The sequence below is a fragment of the Homo sapiens genome, chromosome 1 (assembly GCF_000001405.40).
Source record: "Homo sapiens chromosome 1, GRCh38.p14 Primary Assembly".
NCBI classification, from domain to species: Eukaryota; Metazoa; Chordata; class Mammalia; order Primates; family Hominidae; genus Homo; species Homo sapiens.
In genome coordinates, this window is record NC_000001.11 from 192347957 (window position 1) to 192373807 (window position 25851).

Below are 25851 nucleotides of genomic sequence, written 5' to 3' on the forward strand. Positions count from 1 at the left end.
CCAGCCCTAGGCTCGCTGTGTGTGTGTGTGTGTGTATACACACATACACATACATATATATATGTATTTTTTTTTTTTTTGAGACGGAGTCTTGCTTTACCACCCAGACTGGAGTGTAGAGTGTAGTGGTGTGATCTCTGCTCACTGCAACCTCTGCCTCCCGGGTTCAAGGGATTCTCCTGCCTCAGCCTCCCGAGGAGCTGGGACTACGGGAGCATGCCACGACACCAAGCTAATATGTGTATTTTTAGTAGAGACAGGTGTTCGCCACATTAGCCAGGCTGGTCTCGAACTTCTGACCCCAGATGATCTGCCTGCCTTGACCTCCCAAAGTGCTAGGATTACAGGCATAAGCCACTGCGCCCAGCTGGCCCACTATAATTTGATCACGACTGCCTTTGGTACAAGTTGAAAGAAACATACAAACTGTTGAAAATTTTGAAAATTTAAATAAATCACTTGTTTCACATGTACTGTTGGTCAAAATAAAAAATATTTTAAAGTACTTTATATCAACTGTGTTATTCTCACTTTCAGTGAATATGAAAACATATTTAAATGTATATGTGTGTATTAATATGTATATGTGTGAATATGTATTTATAATTGATAGAATGGTTCAGTAAGGCAATTTTGGCCAATTATAAATAAAACATCCTAGTCTTTAATAAAATATCTTAGTTAACACAACTTACATATAAAATAATCATTTACAAAGGTATAACTTCTGTTTGTGTTATAAATAATCTGCAATTCTATCTCATCTGAAAGAGGAAAAATGACACTGTGAAACACAGAGAGAAAATGTTTATAATATTATTTGTATAAATCAAATGGCATTTTATTTTAAATTCATAAAGAATAAAAATTAGAATATTAGAAAAATATAAAACACAATAGAGCTGAATTCACAGCTGCTTATTTATGTATAAAGTTAGAATGACTTAGATGAATTTAGATACTATAAACATATTATTTCTAAATGACTAATTTAGAAATAATTAGAAATAATTAGAAAGTATAAACATCAAAGGATCCACGTAACTTCCAGAATCCACCTAAGGGCATATATTAAAGAGATGTGAATATGGAATTGCTGTTTATTAAGTGTTAAATGGTGTATTTCCTTTCTCCTTAAGTGTATAAGCAATGGGACAGATCAAGTTTGCTAAAAGGCTTACTGAATTATCTCTCTGTGTGTTGTGACTCAGAAGAATCCAGAGTGGTGGAAGTCCATACAACAGTACTATAGAGGAGAGGCAGGAAGGGTGAGATGAAGGCAAACTCATTCCTCTGCATACCCTCTGGGATTTTATATTTCATGCCCACATGAAATAGAAAAGTCATATACATCCGAACAGTTGTTTGGTTTGCTTTTCATAATACCAGAGAAATGGCAATAGTATGAATGCTTTTTAATGTTTTAAACAGCTAAAGGACTTGTCAAATTACCTAGTTGTTTTTGTTGATTTGCAGACATACTTTGCATGTACTAAGCATAGGCATTAGCCTAGTTTTCACCCCATAATGCTGACATATTCCACTTAACGCCCTTTGTTGATGCTAACCAGTAAGCATTCCATTCTATGGAGAGTGCCCTCAGATAATAAGTTTAATTTTATGTAGCATATTACTTTAAAATCATTTGGCATCTTTTGAACATTCAAATTGTATGTATAGGAGAGTAAATCAACAAAATATCATGTTCAAGATATAGATAAGTAGCCCCAGGTTTAGTTTTTTAAGCTGTTTATTTTGTTCCATTGGGTTCTAAACCAACCTACAGGAGGAGGAAAGATACTAATTTTTAGTTGAGAGTAGCCCATCATTAAAAGTGGAGAGCAAGGGAAAATAATGATTGTATCTTGATCTCTAACTTCCCATCTCTCTGGGATGCATTTAGAAAATCCTCCTAGGGAGAAGCTCCATATGCCTTGATGATACACTATAAAATATTGCCAGGCATGAATCTACAATATTCTTTCTGTATTATTAAAGAACACTTTATTCTCTCTATAAAAATACATCTTAGCATAAATTCTGTTTAGATCTCTGAAATTTCATCATTGTTTGAACTGAATTCAAGAAAAATTTTAATTGAGTGTTACTAAGGGGATTTTTATAACCTAAATTGGTGTTACAGAAACTTCTTGAGCAAGGAACGTGAAGTTAATTGAATTTTTATATAGTGCTCATATATTAACTGCATCCACACTCTCCAGTATTTCAACCAAGAATTTTAATTGGTACCTGATAACCTTTTGCAATGACTTGTTATTGCAAACTTATTTCAAATAACTTTAAAAAAATCTGTTAAATCTATTTTAATCCAGTGTTTTTAGACACTTTAATTCTGCTCCAGGAAGTCCTTTTCTATTTTATTTCTATAAACTTCACTTTTGCATTCTGCAGGCAGCAGCCCATAAACAACAGACTTAAACCTCTTTTCATTCACTTTTCTCTTATTGTTTTCTATTTCTGTAGCCAATTTTGCCTATCCCCTGCTTTTCCATAAACTTATTCCTCCTGTACTTTGGAACTTGAAGGATTAACTCTCTCCGCCTGCAGGAAAGGAGCAGCTGCTTGGAGCACATGCAAAGGGGGCCTCCCTGGCAGGTGGAGGAGAAAACCACCAACGTTCTGGAAGGCAAATTTCTCTGAGTGGAAAAAGTGCTGGCATGTTTTACTCCTCAGAGATATACATTCTCAAAAATAGAGACAGCCAGCGAAAGGGTGCAAACTGTGACACTGAATAACATGACCTAAATGTATTGGTTTAGTTTTGTCCACAGTGGGAATGTGATAATGATCTTTCTGACCTGTTGTCTAACTAGAGGCACTTACCTTCTCACATAAGCTCTGGGTATGCCAAAGAAAAATGTTTCCTGGCCCATTTTGATGAGGAAAATAGAGAAGGAAAGGTCTAAACAAGTGGTCACAATATCAAATATCTTTAGGAGCAAGGGATATAAGTGTAAATTTGACTGAAAGTAAGATAAGGGAAAGAAGTGAGACTCATAGAAATCACCGACTGCAAGCCCTGTGTGTTGTTATTACATTTAAAAGAGCATATCATGATCAAGTGAAAGTAAACATGCCTGTGAATAAGTGAGTCCATTGCAGTTTCGGATCTAGAGTTTCTGGAGAAGTACATGCTAAGGATAATACCTGGGAGGAGGAGGAAAACACTATAAACAGGTACTACAAGGGAGAATGGGAAGCATCAATGTTTTCCTTAAGGCAACATCGGAGAAAAACCCTATGTATTTGTATTTGCCTTATGGAATTAAAGTTGCTTATCGCCACATAAAGGGGAGAAGCATTCACATCAAATATGTTGCCAGTTACTTTCTTGGTTTTGAGATCGAGTTGGCCTATATATTTATCCAAAACTAATAAATGCTAGCTCTTCCTTCTTTGCTTTAAGCCCAAACCAATACAATTTAACACTTTAGCATCAGACTTTGTTTCTGCACCAACTTATAGCAACAAAGATATTCTTACCCTGAATTGAGTATAACATAATTAATTTGACCTGAGCGTAGTGCAATGAATCTTAAAAGCAAAATCCGTGGGGCTTCCTGTGAAGTAACTACCATCAAGATCTCCTAAACATAACTTCTAGATTTCTCAAATACAGAAAGAAAAAAGTACAGGTTTTCTTTGTTAATGAAGCTAATTGTAGAAATATATATGCTATATATATAACATATATAACACATATAATATATATGCTATATATGCTATATATAGCATATATAACACATATAATATATATGCTATATAGCATATATAACACATATAATATATAACATATATAATATATATAACACATATATAGCACATATAACATATATGTGCTATATATGTGTTATATATGTTATATATATGCTCTATATATGTTAACAATTACTGATTGAAAATAAAGTTTTCTAGAGTTAGCAACTAAAACATACATTACATTTAGATGCAATGATCAATATTTGCCACTGAATATCCAGTAAATGCTCATATTATACAATGTACTCATTTTGGTCATATTACTACTCTGTATGCTATTATACAAAACTTTTTCTCATATATTTTATAGCTGGTCTAGATGCTTTTCGAATATTTCTAAAATCAGAGTTTAGTGAAGAAAATGTTGAGTTCTGGCTTGCCTGTGAAGACTTTAAGAAAACGAAAAATGCAGACAAAATTGCTTCCAAAGCCAAGATGATTTATTCTGAATTCATTGAAGCTGATGCACCTAAAGAGGTGAGTGAACTACTTCAGAACAGTGAAGAGTCATCCTGTAGCAGATCTGCTCCCAATTAGAAGACCTTAAATCCATCTAAAAGATAATCAAATTCTCAGTATGTGTTTAAATAGAAAATGTCAGTAGATTCCAAGAGAAATTCCTTAAGATGACTCTCTTTTTTTTCATTGATTCAGTAAGTATTTTTCAACACTTATTATGGGCTAGGTATGACTAATATTTCTGTCTCTTTGCAACAATACTCAGGCCCTTGAAAAATAACGTCTAATATCTCAAACAGTGCTAAAATCAACCCAATATAAATCCTACTTCAAAATGCTGTTGAATTTCCAGTGTAGTTTCTTGTTTTTATTTTGCTAAACTAGGAATTAGACAAAGTCAATATGGATAGCATTCTTGAATATTTAAAAACAAAGTAATGTGTGGGGATTAATTTAAACAAATTAATATGTTGCTTGCCTTTATTTCTTTGATGGTAAAATTGAGCCAAAGATGTGGGGCTCTGTATCAAGTGATCAGGACTCACCTGTGCTGCTTAAAGATCAGGAAACTAGAAAGAGCCTTGGGGAGAAACCTGCAATGACTCTGTTAATAGCGCTCCAAACGTGTTTTATATGTGGAATATCTCATTTGTAGTTGATTTAATTTCCAGAGCCAAAACCATAATCATCTTCAAATCATTTTAAAATTTTAACTGTAAAGTTTAAGCAATTTACATTTGTAAACTGCTTTGGATTTCTTGCTGAATATATTACATAAACAAAGAGCGTTAATGTATAAGTAACCTACAAACAGGAAGCTCCATTAAACTACTAGTACCAAACCAACTACTATTACCAATCATCTTTCATACAGAGGTGAAATGCTGACATCTTTATAAGTGACAGTTACTATGTATTCTGATCCAAAACGAGGATTCATGGTATGAGAGGATGGTTGTACTTATAGGAAAAAAAGATAGACTAGATGAAATGCAAACACTTTCAGAAAATATGAGACATAAAGTTAGTTACCATATTACTAATAGTTCAAGTTTTAGATAGACATTAATTACTGCAGCATATATTAGTCTAGTATAGCATTAATAGTCACGTGAACCACTGAAGCATGGCCTGGAATTCATGGGGATGGAAAAAGCACTTTAACTCCTGTAGAGCTATTTCAACATTTATTTCCAAGTCATCATCTAAGAATCAATAAATAATTCTGGAAAATTGAAAATGTTGCATGTAAGATTTGTAAGGTTGATTGATGTGTCATTTTGCTTTGAAATTAACCCTAAAGATATCCTACTTAATGTTATATTGGTCTGAAAGTCATATTTTTTCCTCCTTTATGAATTCATCTAATTAATAGTAGTTGCTTTAGGATAATATTTTGAAACATTGTGTGTGAAAAATCTTCTAACACAAAATGTCATCTTTTAATTATAGCTGAATTTAAGGTTATAATACATAATAAACCATCAATTTTGATAAAATAGTTTTATTTATTTTCCTAACCTTTTCTTCCAAAATTAATTTATACTGTAATAATTTAACTAAATAGTGTAGCTATTATTTTGGGATATAAAACTTCACAGCTTTTTATAGATTGTACATCTAATTAATTTTGATAAAACAAAATATAATTAAATTGATGGCTGCTTTCCAAGTAATAAATTATAGTCTTTCCTTGAAGTGTCTCTAAAAATGCTATTAGATATTACCAAATTAACTGAAAATACGCAAGTATAAATATGTATACCCCATGTTTATATATACATATATATATGAAATACTTATTCTGTTTCCTATCATTTTCTATTAGTTGTTTCCTATTCAAATTACTAAAGGAAGTTTGCTTGTTATATATTACACCGATTGCAATCTTCAAGGTATTTCTCTATAGTTCATCAGTTATGTGTTATAGTTATACTATTAGTATGTTTATTCATTAAACTGATTTTTTGAGTATCTGTTCCCACAGTGAAATTACCGAGTGAAAGAAGAGACTGACACATAATAAAACTAGTCAAATACACAATAGGTGATATAATAATAAAGCTTCATTTAAAGTTCATTATTAGCACGGTAGGAAAGAGTGATTTAATCTACCTGGAGAGTTAAAGTTAGATTTGCGGTGTGGTTCACACATGAAAAATGAGTCATATTTTATGAAAAGAATGAATGAAGAAACACTATTCCAGCACTGAGAGCACCATTGTATAAAGCTCCCTAGCATTTTCCAGAAATTGCAGGCATATTGATATTGCTAATGTGAGTAGAGGACTTGGGGATGAGGTTGGATAGGTAGGCAGCAGTGGAGATAAAGAAATGATGGAATGTATTCTAGATATACTCAGTAGGCAGACTTGACAAGACTCGGTGACATATTTGAGATGGTTGGAAAATATGATTTGCACAAGTGGAAAATTAAATCAAGAATGAGATTTATATGAGGATATTCTCAGTTTTTCTATATTCTATATTACTCTGTAGTTATATAACAGACTCTTATAAAGAATCTAAATTATAACCAGTTTCCTTGGTAAAATAAAGAACAACAAGGTCATATTACTCATATGCCTATTATATCCCATTTACTTTCTTTTCAAAGTTTTATATCTTTATTTCACCTATTTCATTGCTAACATGGCTTAATAATTATTTGCTGATGCAATTGGACAATTTACAATTAAACTATATGAAACTTACTAAATTATCCCTGACTATAAATTGACATTACTAATGGGTATCAGTTTCCTACTCTAATAGGAAAGACTATATATTGAACTTTCAGGTCTCTATGAGAGATGATAATTTCAGCTGGATTTTATGTCCTCTCCTTTAAAGTGTTACATTCTCTCTGGTTCCCAAATTAACAGGGTGTTAGTATGATGTAGCAGAAAAACTAAAGTTTGGAGCTATCTAGACCTGGGTTCAAATCCTGATCCCTCACTTGTGTAATTCTGTCATAAGCTATTTATCTCTCTGCCTCAGTTTCCTCATCTGAAAAAGTATAATGATACATTTACATAGGAAAAACGAGAATGATACATGAGATAGTGTGTCTAGGGTTTACATCATGCAGAACGGTTTTTAAGGAATGGTAATTCCTTTCTTTCTTTAAACAAGTCACGATAAGTGCTATTGAAACTAACTATTGAAACAACCCTTAGCTTATTTCTAAGAACATATGTAGATAAGCAATGTTAAGACTTGAGAGAAGTGGAAACGTGAACACTTATTATAAAAATGGGTTTGCAAATTGCCAGGTCCAAATAAAAACAGTTGCTCATTGAGTAAATTTTACCTAGATGGCTTCAGGAGAAAATATAGCAGAAAAAAAAAATCATGACCCAAGTATTTTGACTAAGTGACTTGAAAATAAGAAAATTATTAGAGAAATAGATATTTTTAAAGTATCTCTACTTTGTACATACTAATAATGTGGGAGTGGCAAACAAAAAAATTCTTAAACTTGTACTTATTTTTGCTTCAGCTTGGATTGCTAATTTCAGATTATTGAATTTTCAAGAAAATATTACTTAACTTTGAGAAAATAATATTTGAAAAATAATAATATTTTCATATTCAGCTAAGAAATTAACATATTTAAAATATATATTATATTTATGTCATCATTCCTCTATATTGAAAAGAAAGTCATAGAGGATGAAAATATGTCATTAAAGAGAAATTTTTAATGTTGATTGTCATTCTATGAAATTAGAATTATAGTATCAAATCATATCATGGTGTAACATTTAAAAATTATATAAATTCAATTTCACACTGTCAACAATCCAGGAAAAAACACATTGGTAGTTTTTTAAGTCAAAAAACAGCAGAAAATGTTTAATTCTTAAATGTATCTACCAAATGTGAGGACACTGTATCTCATAAAACAAAGAAGAAATTATAGTCATAAACGAGAGTACATCTTCACGGGTCCGTGCAGGACATTTTTTAATATTTGTGTTTGGCTTCTTACTTTTATTTGTGATTCAGCACAATGTTGCTTATTGAGTCACATTATCTTTCACATCAATAAATGTTTTTTATTCTGTGCCTAGTCACATCCTTGTAAGATAAAATCCCTCCATGGAAGAGCAGCTCAGTTTAGGCAGGAAAACAGATAATAAACACGTAAGTATAACACAATGTGTTGCTGTGTTAGGCAGCTCTCCATAACGAAATGTAAGAAAATAAATAGAAACTTTAGTTTGACTCTAAAGAACTTTTCAATACAGTTGGGTTAAAAAATAAAGTGTATAGAACTAGAGAAAATGGCAAAGCAACAAATGATTAAGTGCAAAACAAAGATGAAATTATTTTTATGCTACCTGGAAGGATATGATGATTAAATACCAGTAAGACAGCAGCATATTGAGATAAGACCTTCATTATAAATAAGGATAGTTTTAAACTGAGTCTTGGGGGAAGAAACAGATATATGAGTTGTTGACAGAGAAAAGCCCATGAAAATAGGCATCTAGAAGCATTTTATCCTATTACTGTGATGCCAATTTGTAATCTGCATTTTATATTCGTATTTTTTCTTTGCATTTTTAAATACCACTTCCTCTATATGTTGATGTTATTTTGAGTAGCTTATTTCTGCCCTACTAGTGACTGTTAGCCAACAGTGCTCCCCCAACTACAGAATCATCTCTGGATACAATGTGCTTGCTTATTTGTTAATTTTCTAGGTTTTTGTTCATTAATCAATACTTGAATACTTACTATCTGCTAAGCATTATGCTGGTGCAACTAAGAAAAAGACAGTCATGGTCCCTGAGTAGATCCTTCCCCATACTCTGGTAGAAAGACACCAGATAAAAAATAATAATTATAATAAACTTCCATGAGTGTCCTAACAAGGAAATATAAGGTGAGATGGTAGTTTGCAACAGGAAAATCCAAGTCTAGAGGATCAGGGAATGTATTTCGAAGAAGTAACTGGTAAGCTTTGACCAGAAATTTGACTATAGAGGGAAACAAGACAAGATGGGAAGAGAGAAGGATAGGAGAGGAAGAGGAAGAAGAGCCAAGCAAAGGACTAGCCAGTGCCTAGAAGACTGGTCCAGCAGTGAAAGAAGCCTAGTATTGTGTGTGTTCAAGTATAAATTGAGGTTAACTGCACCTTCTGGATCCCAATGATTTCCACATTTTTATTCATTCCTTCTTAAAGAGCTCTCCTTCAAAAGAAGAAAGGGAGACACAGAAAGAGGGAGGGAGAGAGAAAGAGAAAAGGAGAGCTAAAGAAACTATAATATCTGTACAGAGATTTTACATGGATTATCTCATTTGGTCATCACGTTCACTCTCTTAGGGAAGTATTACATTCATTCACATTTTAAGGTGAAAAACTGAGGCTTAGAGATAAAATGATGAGCCCTGCAGTCATTAAGATCCATGGAGAGGGAGGTCTTCAGCCCATACTTTTAAGCTTCAAATTTCTTCCCCTAGATCTACCACTAATTTGAAGTGTTTATGACATAGCCTGGGATACTTGATGTTTATGATAAAAGCAGAAGCATAAAATTATCTAGTCACATACAATATATCTTCCTATCAACAGTTTTATTTCTCTTCTCATATTCTCTCTAATTTGTGTAACTTCTTAGACTATGAAGCCTAGATTCAAATATGACATTAGAAGGAAAAAAGTGTCAGAAGTATTTCTTCTAATAATCTGCAGAATCATTCTGTGCTTCAAAAAATAATTTCTGCATTTCAACTCAAAAACAAAAGGCTCAGGTGTTCTTTACACTTCTGTGTCTCTGTGCCACTTAAAATGATCTTAGTTTAGCATGTTGGGATTGGTGATGGAAACAGGTCAATCTGATTCCATTTCGGCTGCTCCAGTGTAGCTGTAGCTTTTGTATATCTATTTTTAGCCATCCGTACACGTTATGATTTCATATGTGTCATCTCCTTTATCACCACAGAAATCGGAGAAGCATCTGGTTTCTATTCAGTTCTATCTTTGCTTTGACTACTTGTCTAATTAATCAGGATGGTTTTGAATTATATTTCTCTCATTTCTCTTTCCCAATTTAAGGTGTTAATCTTACCTCCCACCTTGTATTTCTGCCTCCAAAGCCAATGACAACAAAAGGATACAGTCTTATGCAGGGATGAATTCCTTCTAGATGTTACAAACTTTGTTGTATTCAACTTTAATAGCCACCTTTGAGAATATATTTTAGGATATTCATTTGCTTTTAATGATGCCAAAATGAAGTAATACTTGAGGTGTTAGTGGTGATTAAAAGAATTAGGTAACCAAAAATATGATTATAGATGGCCTTAATTTGAATAGTAATTTTTAAGCTCAGCTGTGAATGAGGTCTAAGATGCTGCCGGCTCCATTTTTGTAAGGCGTTTTACTTATGCATGCACACACCCTTTGCATAATGACAGTCTCCTGCTACACTATACATTCTAAATGAGGAAAGGCTATCTAATTTGAATGTGAGAGCACAGTTGAAAACTTTTCATTCAAATTATGTAAAAATACATAAAGCACAGATTACGGTCACAAGAGAGCCAACAGGTACACTTTAAAATGTATTCTTTCTGCTAAAGTAATTTATTGAAAGCCAAAAGAATTTAAGACTGCTGGTGTAGAGAAAATAAATTTGGTTTGCATCGCTTTCAGTTAACAAAAATCACATGCATATTAAAATATCCTGGGTCTTCATAATAAAATTGTTTTACACAACTACCTGAAACATCATTCATAAAGCAGTCATTTTAATGCAATGGATTGTTGTCAATGTCAGTTGTGTCAAGACCTTTTCAAAACTGACAGGATTTAAAAGCCTCTAAATGGTTGTGATGACATCTCAGCTGTCATTTTCTAAGAACCACAATCCTGTGTCTTGTTTTCCAAGATTGGCAGTGTAGTGGTTTCAGAAATCTAAGATAATTTATGACCTTTTGAAAAATAAGCAAATAAAATATTATGTTTCACAAACATAATATTGAAAGTCACTGAAACCAAAGGGTATCCATACAAACAATACAAGTAGCTATTTATGTCAGTAAATAAAATACATGTGGCACTGTTTTTTTTGGTTAATTGATATAATGTTCAGCCCACACTCTGCAGTTCATAGTTGGAGATGCTCAGCGAAGTCTAAGCTTCTCTGTAGCTTCCAAGCAACTCAGGAGTGCCTTCAACATGCAAATGGCAAGTATGAGTTTCTAGAGTGTCACCTCCTGATGGAGTCCCACCTTCAGTATACTTCAAACTCAATATTTCATCTGTCTTACTTTTAGAGATAGAACTGTATCCAAGTATCTTCTGGTAGAATACAAACAAAAATCACATTTGAGAGGAGTGCCAAGTTGGGAGTGCAGTTCACAGACATGTCCCAAGGAGTGACTCTATTAAAGGAAGAAATATGTATCTATGTGTATGTATATATATGTTTATATGTGTGTGTGTGTATATATATATATATATATATATTCCTGTTTACCATTCCATGTGCAAGTCTCCTCTTTAATATTTCAGAGTTATATATAGAGAGACAGTTATATATAACTCTATATGTAACTTTCTCTCTCTCTCTCTATATATATATATACACATAGTAAGTTATATACATTATTTAGTAAGATATATATATCTATCTTACTAAAATTTCAAGGGAGTTGAAAAGGAAAGATAAGGCACTCTTGATAGCATAGTTCCATACATCACCAGAATTGACTTCTAGGGGCATTTAACAAAACATATGACTCCCTCTTAATGGAAATATCTTAAATTGGCTTCTAGGACTGGATTTCTTTCTCCCCTACTGATTGCCCTTTCACCATTTCTTTTCCTGTTCCTACTCATAATCCAAAATGTATTATAATGAGAAGAGACACTCCTCATCTATTTTCTGCTTCCACTCACTCTCCTGATGATCTCTTCTAGTTCTATGGCTTTTAAAGGGAATCTCAAACTTAACAAATTTAAATCTGAGTCCTGATTTCCTGCCCAAAGCTTTCTCCAACCCAAGTTCTCTCTATCTCTGTTAATAACTACTCTGTTCTTCCACTATTCTGGCTAAATAATTTGTAGTCATCTCTTGGTTCTTCTCTTTCTCATATACCCTATATTCAATCCATCAGCATTTTCTGTCATCTCTTTCTTTAGACTATTTCTAATATCCAGCTATTCTTAAAAAGATGTTCTCCCTTGCCCTAGCTCATAACTATTCAATCACAAGTCCCATTCATTCTACTTTCTGAATAGCTTTGAAATCTATGCACTTCCCTTTATTCTCTGTGATGTTACCAAACCTAATTCACCATCAATTGTCCTCCTGATCTCCTGGTGTGGTATCCTAATTTTTCTTTCTTTCACCCACAGCCAGCTATTACACCACATGGGAGCCAGCGATGCTTTTTCAAACATGTGGTTACATTAGTCCCTGACTTAAAATTCTCCTCGTTGGCCTCAGAATAAGTAAAGAAGTCCTTAACAAGATCTACAATGTCCTACATGATTTGGCACCTTTATGCCTTTTGTGATTTATCTTTCTTCTCAAAACCCACAGGGCTTCCTCCAGTTTACCATTCCATGTGCAAGTCTCCTTTTTAATATTTCATAGTCATAATACTACTTGAAAAACCAGCTTAAAATTTCATTTCCTTCAGAAAGCTTTTCCTTAGGGACGCAATTTTTTTCTTTTGGGTTACTTTTTCAAAATCTGATTTCTTGATTGACTTTTTACCTTAATCATCTTTTATCTTCAAATCCTAGCACAGTTCCTAAGCACCTACTCCATAAATACTCTAAATAAATAAATTGAAAAAATTACTAAAAATAAAGTAGATAGCTTTCCAAAATATGTTAAGACTCTCCCCTCCGCCACCAAAAGAGGATAATATTATCCATCTTATATGGTTGTGTGATATTTAGCATAAAGTAGACATATGAAGACTTAGCACATCAGTACTAATGTTTAATTAAAATAACATATTATTTACAGTTAAAATAATCATCTTGAAATATCCTTATGATTATTTTAGAGTTGATGTTATTGTTCAAAATACTTTGCCATGGAAGAAGACAAAATCACTAAGGAAAAAGTCTAGAAAGAAAAGACTTGAGGCAGAACTTGGAGAATATATATATGCTCTGCTTATATTTTTCAAAGACCTGTGGAGAATAAAAAATTAGTAAAAGAAATAGAGAGAAGATAGTAAATTAAAGACAGCTTAATTCCACTTCACGAACTATTGAATCCATCTGTAGTGACAAATCTTTCTCTGATAATCACATTGAATACTTAACATTATCAGAAGCTTTTGCATTCAAATCTGTTTAAAAAATCAATTCCGGAATTTTATTTTCCTTTTTTTTGACGGAGTCTCGCTCTGTCGCCTAGGCTGGAGTGCAGTGGCATGATCACGGCTGACTGCAACCTCCAACTCCTGGGTTCAAGCAATTCTCCTGCCTCAGCCTCCTGAGTAGCTGGGATTACAGATACCCACCACCACGCCTGGCTAATTTTTATATTTTTAGTATAGATGGGGTTCCACCATGTTGGATCTGGCTGGTCTTTAACTCCTCGCTTCAGGTGATCCACCCACCTTAGCCTCCCAAAGAGCTGGAATTACAGGCATGAGCCACCATGCCCGGCCAATTTTCTGGAGATTTTTAAACCAAAATTGAATATAATAAAAAGGAAATTATAGTGACTTTCTTTCTGTGAACAAGGAAGGCTTCTCAGAGGATATTCAACTTAAGGTAAATGATAAAGGTGGAAGACAAACTGTACAGGATATAATTATGAGGGCAAAAGGAATTTTAGATGGTGAAACAGTGTAAACAAAAGTTTTAGGTAAAATATTCACTTTGGGAACAGAGAGTAGTCCAGTTTATGCATATCAATAGGAAAAAGTAGAAGTTGATTTCAAAATAACATATTAAAGTCAGGGTGTGAAGAATCTCAAATGCCACACTGAGATGTTTAACTTTTATGTTATAGAAAATAATGGGTTTTCAGCTGAATTTTTATGTGATAAAAGTTATATTTTGGTAAAACTGATTTAGTAATATTATTTATTGTGTTCAGAAGGGAAAGATACTGTAAAAAGAGGTATCAGATAAATGACAAATTCCATAACTTAGGGAAAATGTTGGTTATAAAGCCCTAAGCTGGAAAAATAAGAGTGAGAATGAAAAAGACCATTGTGAAATTAGAAAATAAAAAAAAGAATTTACACGCATATGTGCATGTGCACACGCACAAACACACAACATAAGTGATCAGAGAAAAAACAGGTGTCAGAGACAATTCCTATGTTTCTAGCTTGAACAACTTTAAGAAATATAATTACATTTACACGAACATGGAGGTGTGATGTTTTGTCACTGACATTAAGCTGAATTGCCAAGACACAGCTTTATAAGACTACTGATCATCTCCTGAGAACAGTAAACCTGCTCATCACTTAGCTACCAATTGCTGATGCTGGCAGTTCCTTGGTAGGAAAATAGGCAAATCAGAAAAATGACGAGCATAAGTCAGAAGTACAAGGTTAATATATTTCAGTAATAATATTAATTAGCATTATTATGTTGAAATTGAAGAGTTCTCTCTAAAATTTAAACATGATTTTGAACAAGTATAGAACCATTTTTTCACTGCTTATACATGTATTTATTGAGTTCTTACAGTGTGCAAGGCATACTAAAGGATGTTCAAAATGTAAATATCATCTTAGCAATGCAAAATCCCTTAACAGATCAGAAAGAAAAAAAATCCACACATAAACTTCAATGCTAGGTGTTAGTTAAATTTAAAGACAAAAAGACTTGTGAAAGACTTAGGATAAAAGGAGTGACTTTCAGTTTGATTGAGATATTATGAGAAATGTTTAAAAGTAAAAATATACAAGAAATGTAAGTGGAATTGTCTAGCTTGATGGGAATACAGGGCACACATAAAAGAGAAGAAATGTGTAAGTAGGTATTACATTGTAAAGGCCATGAATGCCAAAATCATGGCTTTGGACTTTTTAAGTAGGAAAAGAGGAATTATTATAGGTGTTCAGTTACAACAACAACAATAATAATAATAAGCTAGCACTGTTTGGCAGGCACACTTTGGCCATGCTGTCAGCAAAAAACTCCCTTGATGAGTGTCTAAACAGGTTAGGTTCCTCTGCTTAACCACTAGGGGAAATATAAAGTTAAACAAATCACAGATGATGCTGTTAAAGACTTAACAATATAGTTAATTGAAGAAACAGGCTGCATATATTCTCATATTCCCACAACACCAGATAAGTTTATGAAACAGACTATAGTAGATGTTTAAAAACCACTACAAATCTTGATAATAGCCACTATTGATTCCCACTATGAGGCAAACACTGTATATGTTCATTATATAAGTTATCGTGCCACTTAACTGCACAAAACCTTTCAGTATCTTTCTATTGCTTCTAGCAGGAAAATAAGTCCTGAACACAGCACATAAACTCTACAAGACCTGGCCTGGATCTCCTTTTACAATATTATAACAAAAATTCCTTGCTTACACCCTACACTCTGGCTCTCAAGGTGTAGTGGCTCTTTAGAACCTAATAATTTTTTTCTTGCATTAGGGACTCTGTGTTTATTTGCTTATTTTTTCTGCCCTAAGTGTTTTTCCCCAGATTCTTAGAGCACCATCTTCTTCTTATCTTTCAACTTTACATCTAAAACATTTATTTAGTTGTTGGTTTTGTTTCCCCAAATACAGCAGCATCTTGTACATAACAGACACTCAAAATTTTTTGTGAAATAATAAATATATGGATCATCCTGCTTTAATTCTTATATCACTGGGTCAAAAACTATCAGCAGCTTAACACTGAAGAAGCAGAAACTCAGAAATATTAAGCTAACTCACCCAAGGTCACCAAAGCTGTAAGTGTTAGAGGACAGACTTGAAAAGGATCCCCAAGTGTTTCCACTGCCCTGCACCATCTTCTGGTATAATAAATGGACAACTGATTCCAGATTTTCAGGCCTTTAAGATTATTTTGGCACTTGTTCTGGAACTTTGATGAGGGACTCAAGAAGGTAATCAAAGGAAGAAAAGTGGAAGTATATTCTGGGATCATGAGTAGCTGAAGTCCCAAAGGAAAGGAAAGATCTATGAGCAAATAGTGGCCTTTTGATGATTCTTTTCAAATTACTTTTTTTATTCTTTTCTTCCTAGAATAATAATATTAAAATAGTTTGGTATTCTTGTGTCATTTAATCCTGAAAACATTTTAAGATAGGTGCTATTACTATTCTCTTTCACACTATGGAAATTGAAAATTAAAGGAAATTATAGAAACTGCTTCACTCATGCAAACAGCAAGTAAGTAGCTGAGGAGGAATTTGATTGCAGGTGTCTGTGCCTATTGTTTAACCTCAATTTAGTGCACCATAAATTGTCATTTATAGTTCCATACTCCAAAATTCTAACATTTTTACCATCTCCTGCATTTTTCCAAGGGACATTTAAATTCCATTTAACAAATATTTATTGATTTACTATTATGTGGTAGGTATTCTGCTAAGTGCTAGAAAATAGAATGATGAATAAGACAGATACAGAACCCGCCTATGGTGAGCTTTTAATTTTAAGATTAAAATCTCTTTTGAGGCCAGGTACGGTGGCTCATCCCTATAATCCCAGCACTGTGGGAGGCCGAGGCAGGCAGGTCATCTGAGGTCAGGAGTTCAAGACCAGCCTGGCCAACATGGTGAAACCCCGTCTCTACTACTAATAATACAAAAATTAGCCAGGCATGGTGGAGCACACCTGTAATCCCAGCTACTAGGGAGGCTAAGGCAGGAGAATCGCTTGAATTTGGAAGGCAAAGGTTGCAGTGAGCCTAGATTGTGCCATTGCACTCCAGCCTGGGCGACAAGAGCAAAAGTGCGTCTCAAAAAAAAAAAAAAAGCTCTTTGAACTTCATGACTATTTTCAGTTTAAGTTACATAATTTGGATATAAACTTTTCTGCTTCTCAAAATATATCCTGGAATATGTGAGGATCTTAGTATCTCCACAAGAAGGTTTGGAGCATTTTACATATTTGCAGGTGAATGGTGTGTTTCAATATAATAGATCTCCATTAGAACTCGCTGGAAATGCCTATATGTGGTAATGATAAAGAAACAGGGAGATTATATGTAGATATATGTTCTGTGGGAGAGATGAGAATCACTAAAGAGGGGATGTTATTTGATCCATTTATCAAATAAAAAGAAACACAAATTAGAAAGAAAAGCAGTGTTGTGAGGAACAAAGGAAAATATGGAGAATGGGAATGAGTTGGTATATTCAAACCTAATAAATTCTAGAAACAGTTCTGCCTAGGAAAATTACATTTTAAGTACTCAGTTCAAAGTGTTAGAAAAGAAAAGGTAGGTGAAAAAAATGTAAAGTCATAAAATATCTTGCTTGCTTTTTCACTTTGCCTTCTTTAAAATAAATCTCAAAATAAGGTTTTACCACTGTTTCCTGTCAATGCTACCCCTCTCAAGCATGGAAGAAAAATAATTAAACCAAGCATGTATTCTGCATTCTAGAAAATGAATACATGAACTTTCTGCTGTTTTGCATCAGATTTGCTTTGTGTTTAGAAAGAATTTTAAATAATATATATGTATAAACTATACATTCTTTGATTAAACTAATTCAATGATATGCAACCTTATTTTCCACAGATTAACATTGACTTCGGTACCAGAGACCTCATCTCAAAGAATATTGCTGAACCAACACTCAAATGCTTTGATGAGGCTCAGAAATTAATCTATTGTCTCATGGCCAAGGATTCTTTCCCTCGATTTCTGAAGTCAGAGATTTATAAAAAACTGGTAAATAGCCAACAGGTTCCAAATCATAAAAAATGGCTCCCTTTTTTGTGAGGAAGGTAAAAGTTAACTAATCACTATACTTCAGGGCTACAATATTTTAAATATACAAGCATGATGCATTGTCTTTTGTTTTGTTTTTAGGATTTAGAAAACATTTTTTACCCAAACAGATGAATAACGTTTTATACAACAAGCCTGAATTTCTAACTCAGTTGTTTAGAATGTATTTGCTTTACCAGCTATTTAATCTCCTACTGGGGGAGTACAAAGAAAGTTTATAGAGATACAATATAGTCTTAAACCAAAACTGAATATTCTTATTATATTATAATGTAAGGAATTATACATATCTTCACGTGGCAGAATGAAAGACTTTTGAGCATCATATACACAATTTTAAATACCATTGCTTTATTCAAAAAAATCTCACTTTTGTAAAAAGAGAATTTCTGAACCAAAATACAAGCTTTCATTTAATATATTTAACTGTTTTTTTTCTGCCATTTCTTTCCAACTATTTCTAATAATGTGGTTATGAAAACTGCTACGCCTCTCAAATTATATTTTTTAAATCACAGGAATGTATACACATTTATATGTATGTCTTGAATGCACCATGGACCAAAGTTTTTCAAAATATATCACTTGGCTCAATTCAATGGCATCACATATAAAATGTGATGAGTTATGTATGAAAAGGCCTCAAGGGTGGGGAATACTGATTTTCTTATGTTAACAGAAATATAAAAGAAAGTGGAAGACTAAGGAGCATAGATAAATCCTTATAAGATGAAGTATATAGCAAGTCATAAAATTTAAGAATTTGCAACATTATCTACTCAATTGTGGGGAAGTATCTATTCACTCCTTCAGCACTGATACTTGTTTATAAAACCCAAACAATTTTTAAATGCATTTATTTTGAGATGTTCCTAAAATTGTTTCATTCTATATGTAAATATCCTGTGATAAATACGAATAATTTCATTTCAATATGAGAAGCTGTAAAGATTCAACAGATCTCCCACGTTTCCATTTTCTTTGCACAGATTTATTTATCTGCATTGATATTTCTGCTTTTAGATTGTTTGAACATTAAAAAATGGAGGAAAAATAGCATGGCTTATTTTATGTTTTCACAAACTACTCATTTGATAGACAAAATTTTGTCTTCCCTTCATCATGAGAAATAAACATTTAAACATATTCAAATGGAATATTCCCTGTACATTTGCAAATTCTTTAAAAGAAGGCATAAATAGAAATTGGTTGTGAAGCATTCAATGTGCCTTAAGGTGCACTTAGTGGAAAATAGCTACACTTTTTAACATATATTGTAGAGATTCCAACCTTAATTTAGTCTCTATTTAAATGGGAAACTTCAAATTATTCTCGGAGAAAAAATAGACTTTTGAAGATAAAAGGAATCTTGGAAATTAAAATCACATTCCCACTTTTAGATATGAAAAGAAAAAAATCTCAGTTATTTCCTCAGATCACAAGGCTAGTAAGTGACCAAGCTGGTCAGAGCAGTGCTTTTCCCACGTGGGCTCCCTACTCTGACAGAACAGTGTAGTCCTCTCTCCAATTAAGAACTGTTCTGAGGTCTGGAATCTAAACTCCAACTAATCCTCAAATACCCAGACACAATCCCTTTCATCAGGTATTTCAATTTTCTCTTTACAGTCAGTTTGCAACTTCTTTCTCGTTACCATAGAGCAAGACTTTATATTTAATGATTGCCTCTCAAGTTTTCTCTAATGATGTGAAAGAAGACACAAATTAAACTTTCACTACCTAGAAACAGTAGGTGCTTGATAGTACCTAAAAAAATACGGCTGGTGTCAAAATGTCTTGTTGAAAATTGGATGTTAAATGACCTCTAATAGGATCCCAGCCAAAGACCCTCAATAACAATACCTACCTCCTCAACTCACTCCCGCCCTAAGTGACAATTCTAGGTATTCTGATTAAATAAAAGAAAAGAAAACAATTGCAGGTTTTTGAACACTTATCAGTCAGGATTTTTAATAAAATATCAGATGTACATCTTACACACGTGCTCTCTTTCATGCCATATGTTATTTTATTTCATCAGTTATCGATGAGTAATTTTATGGATGAAATTTTAAGTAAAAAAAAATTAATTTGCAAGAAATGAATAACAACATTAACATTCCTGAAAATGTGTTTAAATATTCAATGATTGTTTAATGCCATTTCCTAAAAACGTTTCTATCAACTTTAAGAAATGAGGTGCTAACATTAAAAACTAAGGTAAGCAGTAAAACATTAATACAATTACAAGATATTTAAATTGAAATGACCTTCATATTGTAAGATTTTTCCAAGCACAATGCTTTCTGCTTTCTGATAGTTTCCACAGAATGTGTTTTAATGAAATTTCTGCTTGCCCTCCACTAGTCAGACCTAAAGAAGTAAAATGATATATTTCTAAGTTAATCTTACCTTTTTAACAATGAATTATGGAGCTATAATCCACGAATTTATCTAAAATCCTTTTGAATTTATTTGTATTTCAAGTATTAATAATTCCATCCATAATGATTCTTTTAAGTTTATATGTAGTTTCTTCTATTTGCCCAGAAAGGATCTATTTCTGCCTCAAGATATAATCAAACTTTTTTCTAATACTATATTGTAAAAATCTAAAATCTTTAGGGCATTACAAACATAATCTTGTCTCCAACTTTACCTTCCCAAATTTGCTTTTATTTCTTGGGTTTTTCTTCAGTCTGTCTATATGTAGAACTCATTCTACCCACTTTCATTGTTTTGGTTACTTTGCTCTACAGTTTTTAAAATTCTGTGTGGTGTAGCAACTATCTGTACTCAGGATATTGTTGATGAAAACACATATTGATATAATAAAAGGAGAGAAAAAAAGTGTTTTCAGTTTCTTTTCCAATATCCCTTCTAACGAAGCTTAGTATCAACCTGGCCTTTTATACCATAGTAGCATTCTGGGCCATAATTTTGGAAAATGGTCTAGGTTTCTTTCCTGAAATTTCAAGAAAAGTTTAGGTTCATTATCCTAGACTTGAAATTTAGATTGAACTTTCTTTTCTTTGTCTATATGGAAGATAATTAGCCAATATTCCCAATCATGTAGGCTATGCCTAACATAAATAAATAATTATTAGAAAACTTAAGAAATTTATTCTAAAAACAGAAAATTCTCCTTAAAAACAAAACCAGACAAGTTGGTCTCAGTATCGCTAGTCTCTGCACATTTATTTCCTATGTAAAAATTATATCTTTAGTTTTCACTCACACAATCCCTATATAACAGTTTCACCCCAATTATATCAAATGTGGGCCTGATTTGCTTCCCAACCACATGGCCAGGTAATTTATTTCATGGTGATGCCAATTAATTTAAAGTGAACTCATTTCATAACTGTGAAAAAGGTGGGATGTTGTCACAGCAGTAATCAACTATTATATGAATAAAGAGTCACACAGGCTAGCTTCCTCTTATTGTTTTGTCAGATTTGCCACTGCATTTTAATGGGCAACGAACAGGAATGAATATTAAGTGATAACTTATTTACCTAGGCTATGCTATTGTGGAGAAATTTTTATATGTTCTGTATAAATACTACTTATAGAGTGTGTTGAAATATGTATAATTAATTCTAATAATAAATGAACATATATTAGTGTGTTTCCAAGTATAACAGAAAGTGGGGAAAATAACATTTACTTAAAAATGCATTTTTTTTTAAGAAATCACATTAGCCTTTCTTTTTCTTTTGTTTAAGAAGCAAAAACAGAGCTAGACATGTGGAAAAGAAAAAAAAAAAATATATATATATATATATATATATATGTCCAATGAAGTTTAATCAGATTATTAGGTAGCCATTGAGTATTTATGATTTTTGTTATATCTAGAATAAAGTCAGCTATGAGTATTTCTAAGAAAAAAATTGCTTTATTCAATGCACATTGTTTTCTTAGGTGATGATTGTTTAATTATTCCTGGAAGTTTCACTTAAAACATAATTTAATTTATTTGTTTTCACAAATAAGGATTTTAAAGCAATTAATTCCTTATGAATATGATTTGAGTTATTTGTTTTAATACTTTTATTTCTTATGTGCATTTAGGAAAATAAGCTGTAATATTTAGATCATTAATGTTATAAATGATGATGGCTTAGAGATAAAATATAATAAATAGCTGTCTCTTTTTAAAAACTAATAAGAAAAAAGTTAAATTTTTTTAATTATATTAAATATTATTGTGTTTACTTCTTACAGATTTTAGTTAAAATATCTTATTTTTATAGTGTCAGTTTTAGCTTTAAAGAAGTAAATATTTTGGTCATGATACCTTTAAATTGTTGTTTTTATTGCACTTTCCAAATATATCATGTTTACCCCAAAGATATAATCATGAATTCAAAGTTATAACAGTTTTTTCTTACATATTATGAGGAAAAGACAAAGAAAATGCCTATTACTTGGTAGAAAAAAATAAATTTATTATTAATCACTCAAAGTAACGTTTAATATCTGAATATGAATCTTTTAGGACAACATACCATAATCCAATGTGAAAGACCAAGAACACTGTGAGGGAGATTTAAACTGTTGGAGTTATGACTGACCTGCTAAAAATTTTCTTTTAAAGTATTGTTTGCTGTCCAGTGATTCTCTAGATTCCTTTGCACGTTTGTTTGTTTTTAACCTAGAAGCAGTCTTTTAAAAGAGTAAATAAACTCTAACACTAGAAGGTTAAAGATTGGTTGAAATTTCAATCCATGAGTCTTAACTGTGTTTTAAACTAAATAATATAGAAACTGCATCTGGGAAAATGGCTTTTAAGTGGTAGAAGCCAGTGGAAATTAAATAGTATTATTACATAGTAGCTTAAAGTAAATTTAGAACTTTGTTGAAAAATCTAAGGTTACATGCATATATGAATATACACATATATTTACTTAATGAACTCTGTTTCTATTTAAATTTCTGTTTTTTGAAAGTGTTAATGGCATATATCACCTGGCTATTTTTAAGTCTATATAAGTTGCATTTCATAATATCTCCATTTCAAAAAGGATTAAAGCCTCAGAAAAACATAAAATGAAATCAGCGTTAATCAAATCAGAAGATCTATTTTCTAAATCAATAACTTTAAAAAATAGGCTAAATATAAGTAAAACATACTTCTTATTCCACGATTAAAATGCAGTCATTAGCCCTGACATGTGAATGGACACTTCTTAACTCAAGTTTGAAGGACTATGACTATAAATGCCTAAGCATTTAATAACTACTGCCTGACTAGTTGAGTTGTAAGAATTTCTCATTGAATTAACACTTCTGAGGTAGGCAATGTGGAAAGACAAAAAAAGATTTTTATAAGTCTTTCAAAAGTGTACAGTAAGCTGAAAAGACAGTATTTGGATAACAGCTCATAGTTCAAAGTATTTTCACAGAAGAAAAGTAATTCTATTTTCACATAAAATATACAACTAAACTACAGCATAAATGTTAATTGCAGGATAGTGTACATGGATATAAATATTGGTAATTCATATCACTATGTATCAATGTATAATTGTAAAGACATAGACTAGTTAAACCAGAGTCAATTGAGACTTCACAAAGAGAAATTGTAAATTGATGTGTGAAAACAAATGCAAAGAAGAGAAGGAGAAAGCATGGGCAAAGCATGCAAAAAGCATATGAAACCCCAGTCTAGTTGTGGAGTCAGCACTCAGAATCTTACAGTAGTTGCCTGAATTCTTTACTTGAGAAAGGAGAAGAGTTCAGCTATTTAGAGCAAAAGGTACACCTTCTCCCCCATGCCTTCCGAATGCCTTACTAAGTGCACCCTGGATCTTTGCGTTGATTAAGGAGAGAAGAATCTCCCTGGGAATGGGCTTTTAAACTAATTAACCCCAATCAGCAACATTGTCTATTCAATTATTTATGTACTCATTCATCACTGGAACCTATTTATGAAACGCGAACAAATTTTATTTAAAAAACATTTATTTTGAAATGCTTCTAAAATTGTTTCTTTCTATAAATAAATATCCTTTGATAAATAGGAAAAAATTTCATGTCAATATGAGAAGCTGTGAAGATTCAGCAGATCTTCCGTGTTTCCATTTTATTTGTACAGATTCATCTGTATTGATATTTCCATTTTGATATTGTTTAAACAATAAAAAATAGAGGCAAAATAGCATGACTTATTTTATGTTTCCAAAACTATCCATTTGATAGGCAAACTTTTGCTTTATATGCAGCACATGTGTTTTCAAAATTAGATGCTTCCAAGTAGAGGCCTGGTCACAGCCAAACACACCAATCTCTTGGTATTGCTTCACCCACACTTAATTGCATGGCAATTATTTAGCATTTCACCTTTGTTATGTCTTTAACAAAGACATAGCAAAGCATTCAATTTCAACCTCATTGAATTAAATCTCCCCCTGCACTGATTTCATCTCATTGTATATTGTTTAATTAAATCATGAAACAACAATAATTAAAATTTGCATAAAGAAGCTTGAGGAAAAAGAGAAACATGACTGTCGTTGATAAACCTACAACTCTACTGGTATCAGCAGATGAGCACTAGCAATAAGAATTCACTATTCCACAAACATGATCATTAAAAAGATGGAGAATCATAATGTAAAATCTAGACTCTAGATGATAATGATGTGTCCATATAGGTTCATTAATTGTAACAAATATACTACTCTGTTGGGGATGCCGATAATGCAGAAGTTATGCATGTGTGAGGACAGATGCAAGAAATCTCTGTACTTGTTAATTTTGCTGTGAACCTAAAACTAGTCTAAAAAATGGTCTTTGAAAAATCTGGAGAGAATGGAATAACCCTGAGAGGCTCTTAATTGGAGTTCTTCTAAAAGAACATCTAGACTGATAAATAATTTGCTCATCTAGACTGAGCAAATAAAGTCCACTTACTGTCTAAGACCATGTTGTATTAAAATCCTGAAAGAGCTGATAGCTAAATAGGAAAGTGGTAGACTGCCCATTTATTGTTGATGTTTAAATATCTAAAAGTTAAAAAGATGATTCAGATACAAATATAAAATAAAGACATGTCAAAAAGATTATTTTCTTAATTAATGAGGAAACCAGCAGGATAGTAAAGCTTTTTCAAAAGAGAATCAGACTGAAGAAGTTATGGCCAATTAAAAAGATGCTGAAATATTATTAAAAAGTGATATATGAAAATGGTTAATGTCTTAAAGAGTAATACCATTATGTCTTTTAGGGTTTTTTTGTTTGTTTGTTTTGTTTTTGTTTTTGTTTTTTGTTTTTTGTTTTTAGATGGAGTCTCTGACTCCCAGGCTGGAGTGCAATGGCGAGATCTCAGCTCACTGCAACCTCTGCCTCCTGGGTTCAAGTGATTCTCCTACCTCAACGTACCAAGTAGCTGGGACCTAAAGGTGCTTGCCACCACACCCAGCTAAATTTTGTACTTTTAGAAGAGACTGGTTTTCATCAGGTTGGTCTCGAACTCCTGACCTCAGGTGTTCCGCCTGCCTCGGCTTCCCAAAGTGTTGGGATTACAGGCGTGAGCCACAGTCCCTGGCTGGGTTGTTTTTTTTTTTTTTTAAAGCAGACAGAAATCATTGCCTCACCAGGAGACAAAAATCATTTGTAATTTATTAATCTACTGGTTATCATCTACTTTCACTGAGTCTGAATCCTGAT

General features: G+C 32.5%; 1 protein-coding gene and 1 long non-coding RNA gene across 2 annotated transcripts in view; one reads left to right on the forward strand and one right to left on the reverse strand.

Annotated features, from left to right (window-relative positions):
- The window catches only part of RGS21 (regulator of G protein signaling 21), a 50294-nt gene extending 30965 nt beyond the window's left edge, over positions 1-19329 (forward strand). The window contains exons 4-5 of the mRNA NM_001039152.3: positions 4091-4257; positions 17965-19329. Coding sequence (NP_001034241.1) covers positions 4091-4257; positions 17965-18168 — 371 coding nt within the window. The 3' untranslated portion in view covers positions 18169-19329. The remainder of the gene's footprint in view (positions 1-4090; positions 4258-17964) is intronic.
- Positions 1-25851, reverse strand: part of LOC124904473 (uncharacterized) — a 37073-nt gene that overhangs the window by 4598 nt on the left and 6624 nt on the right. The gene's annotated exons all lie outside the window — the stretch shown is intronic.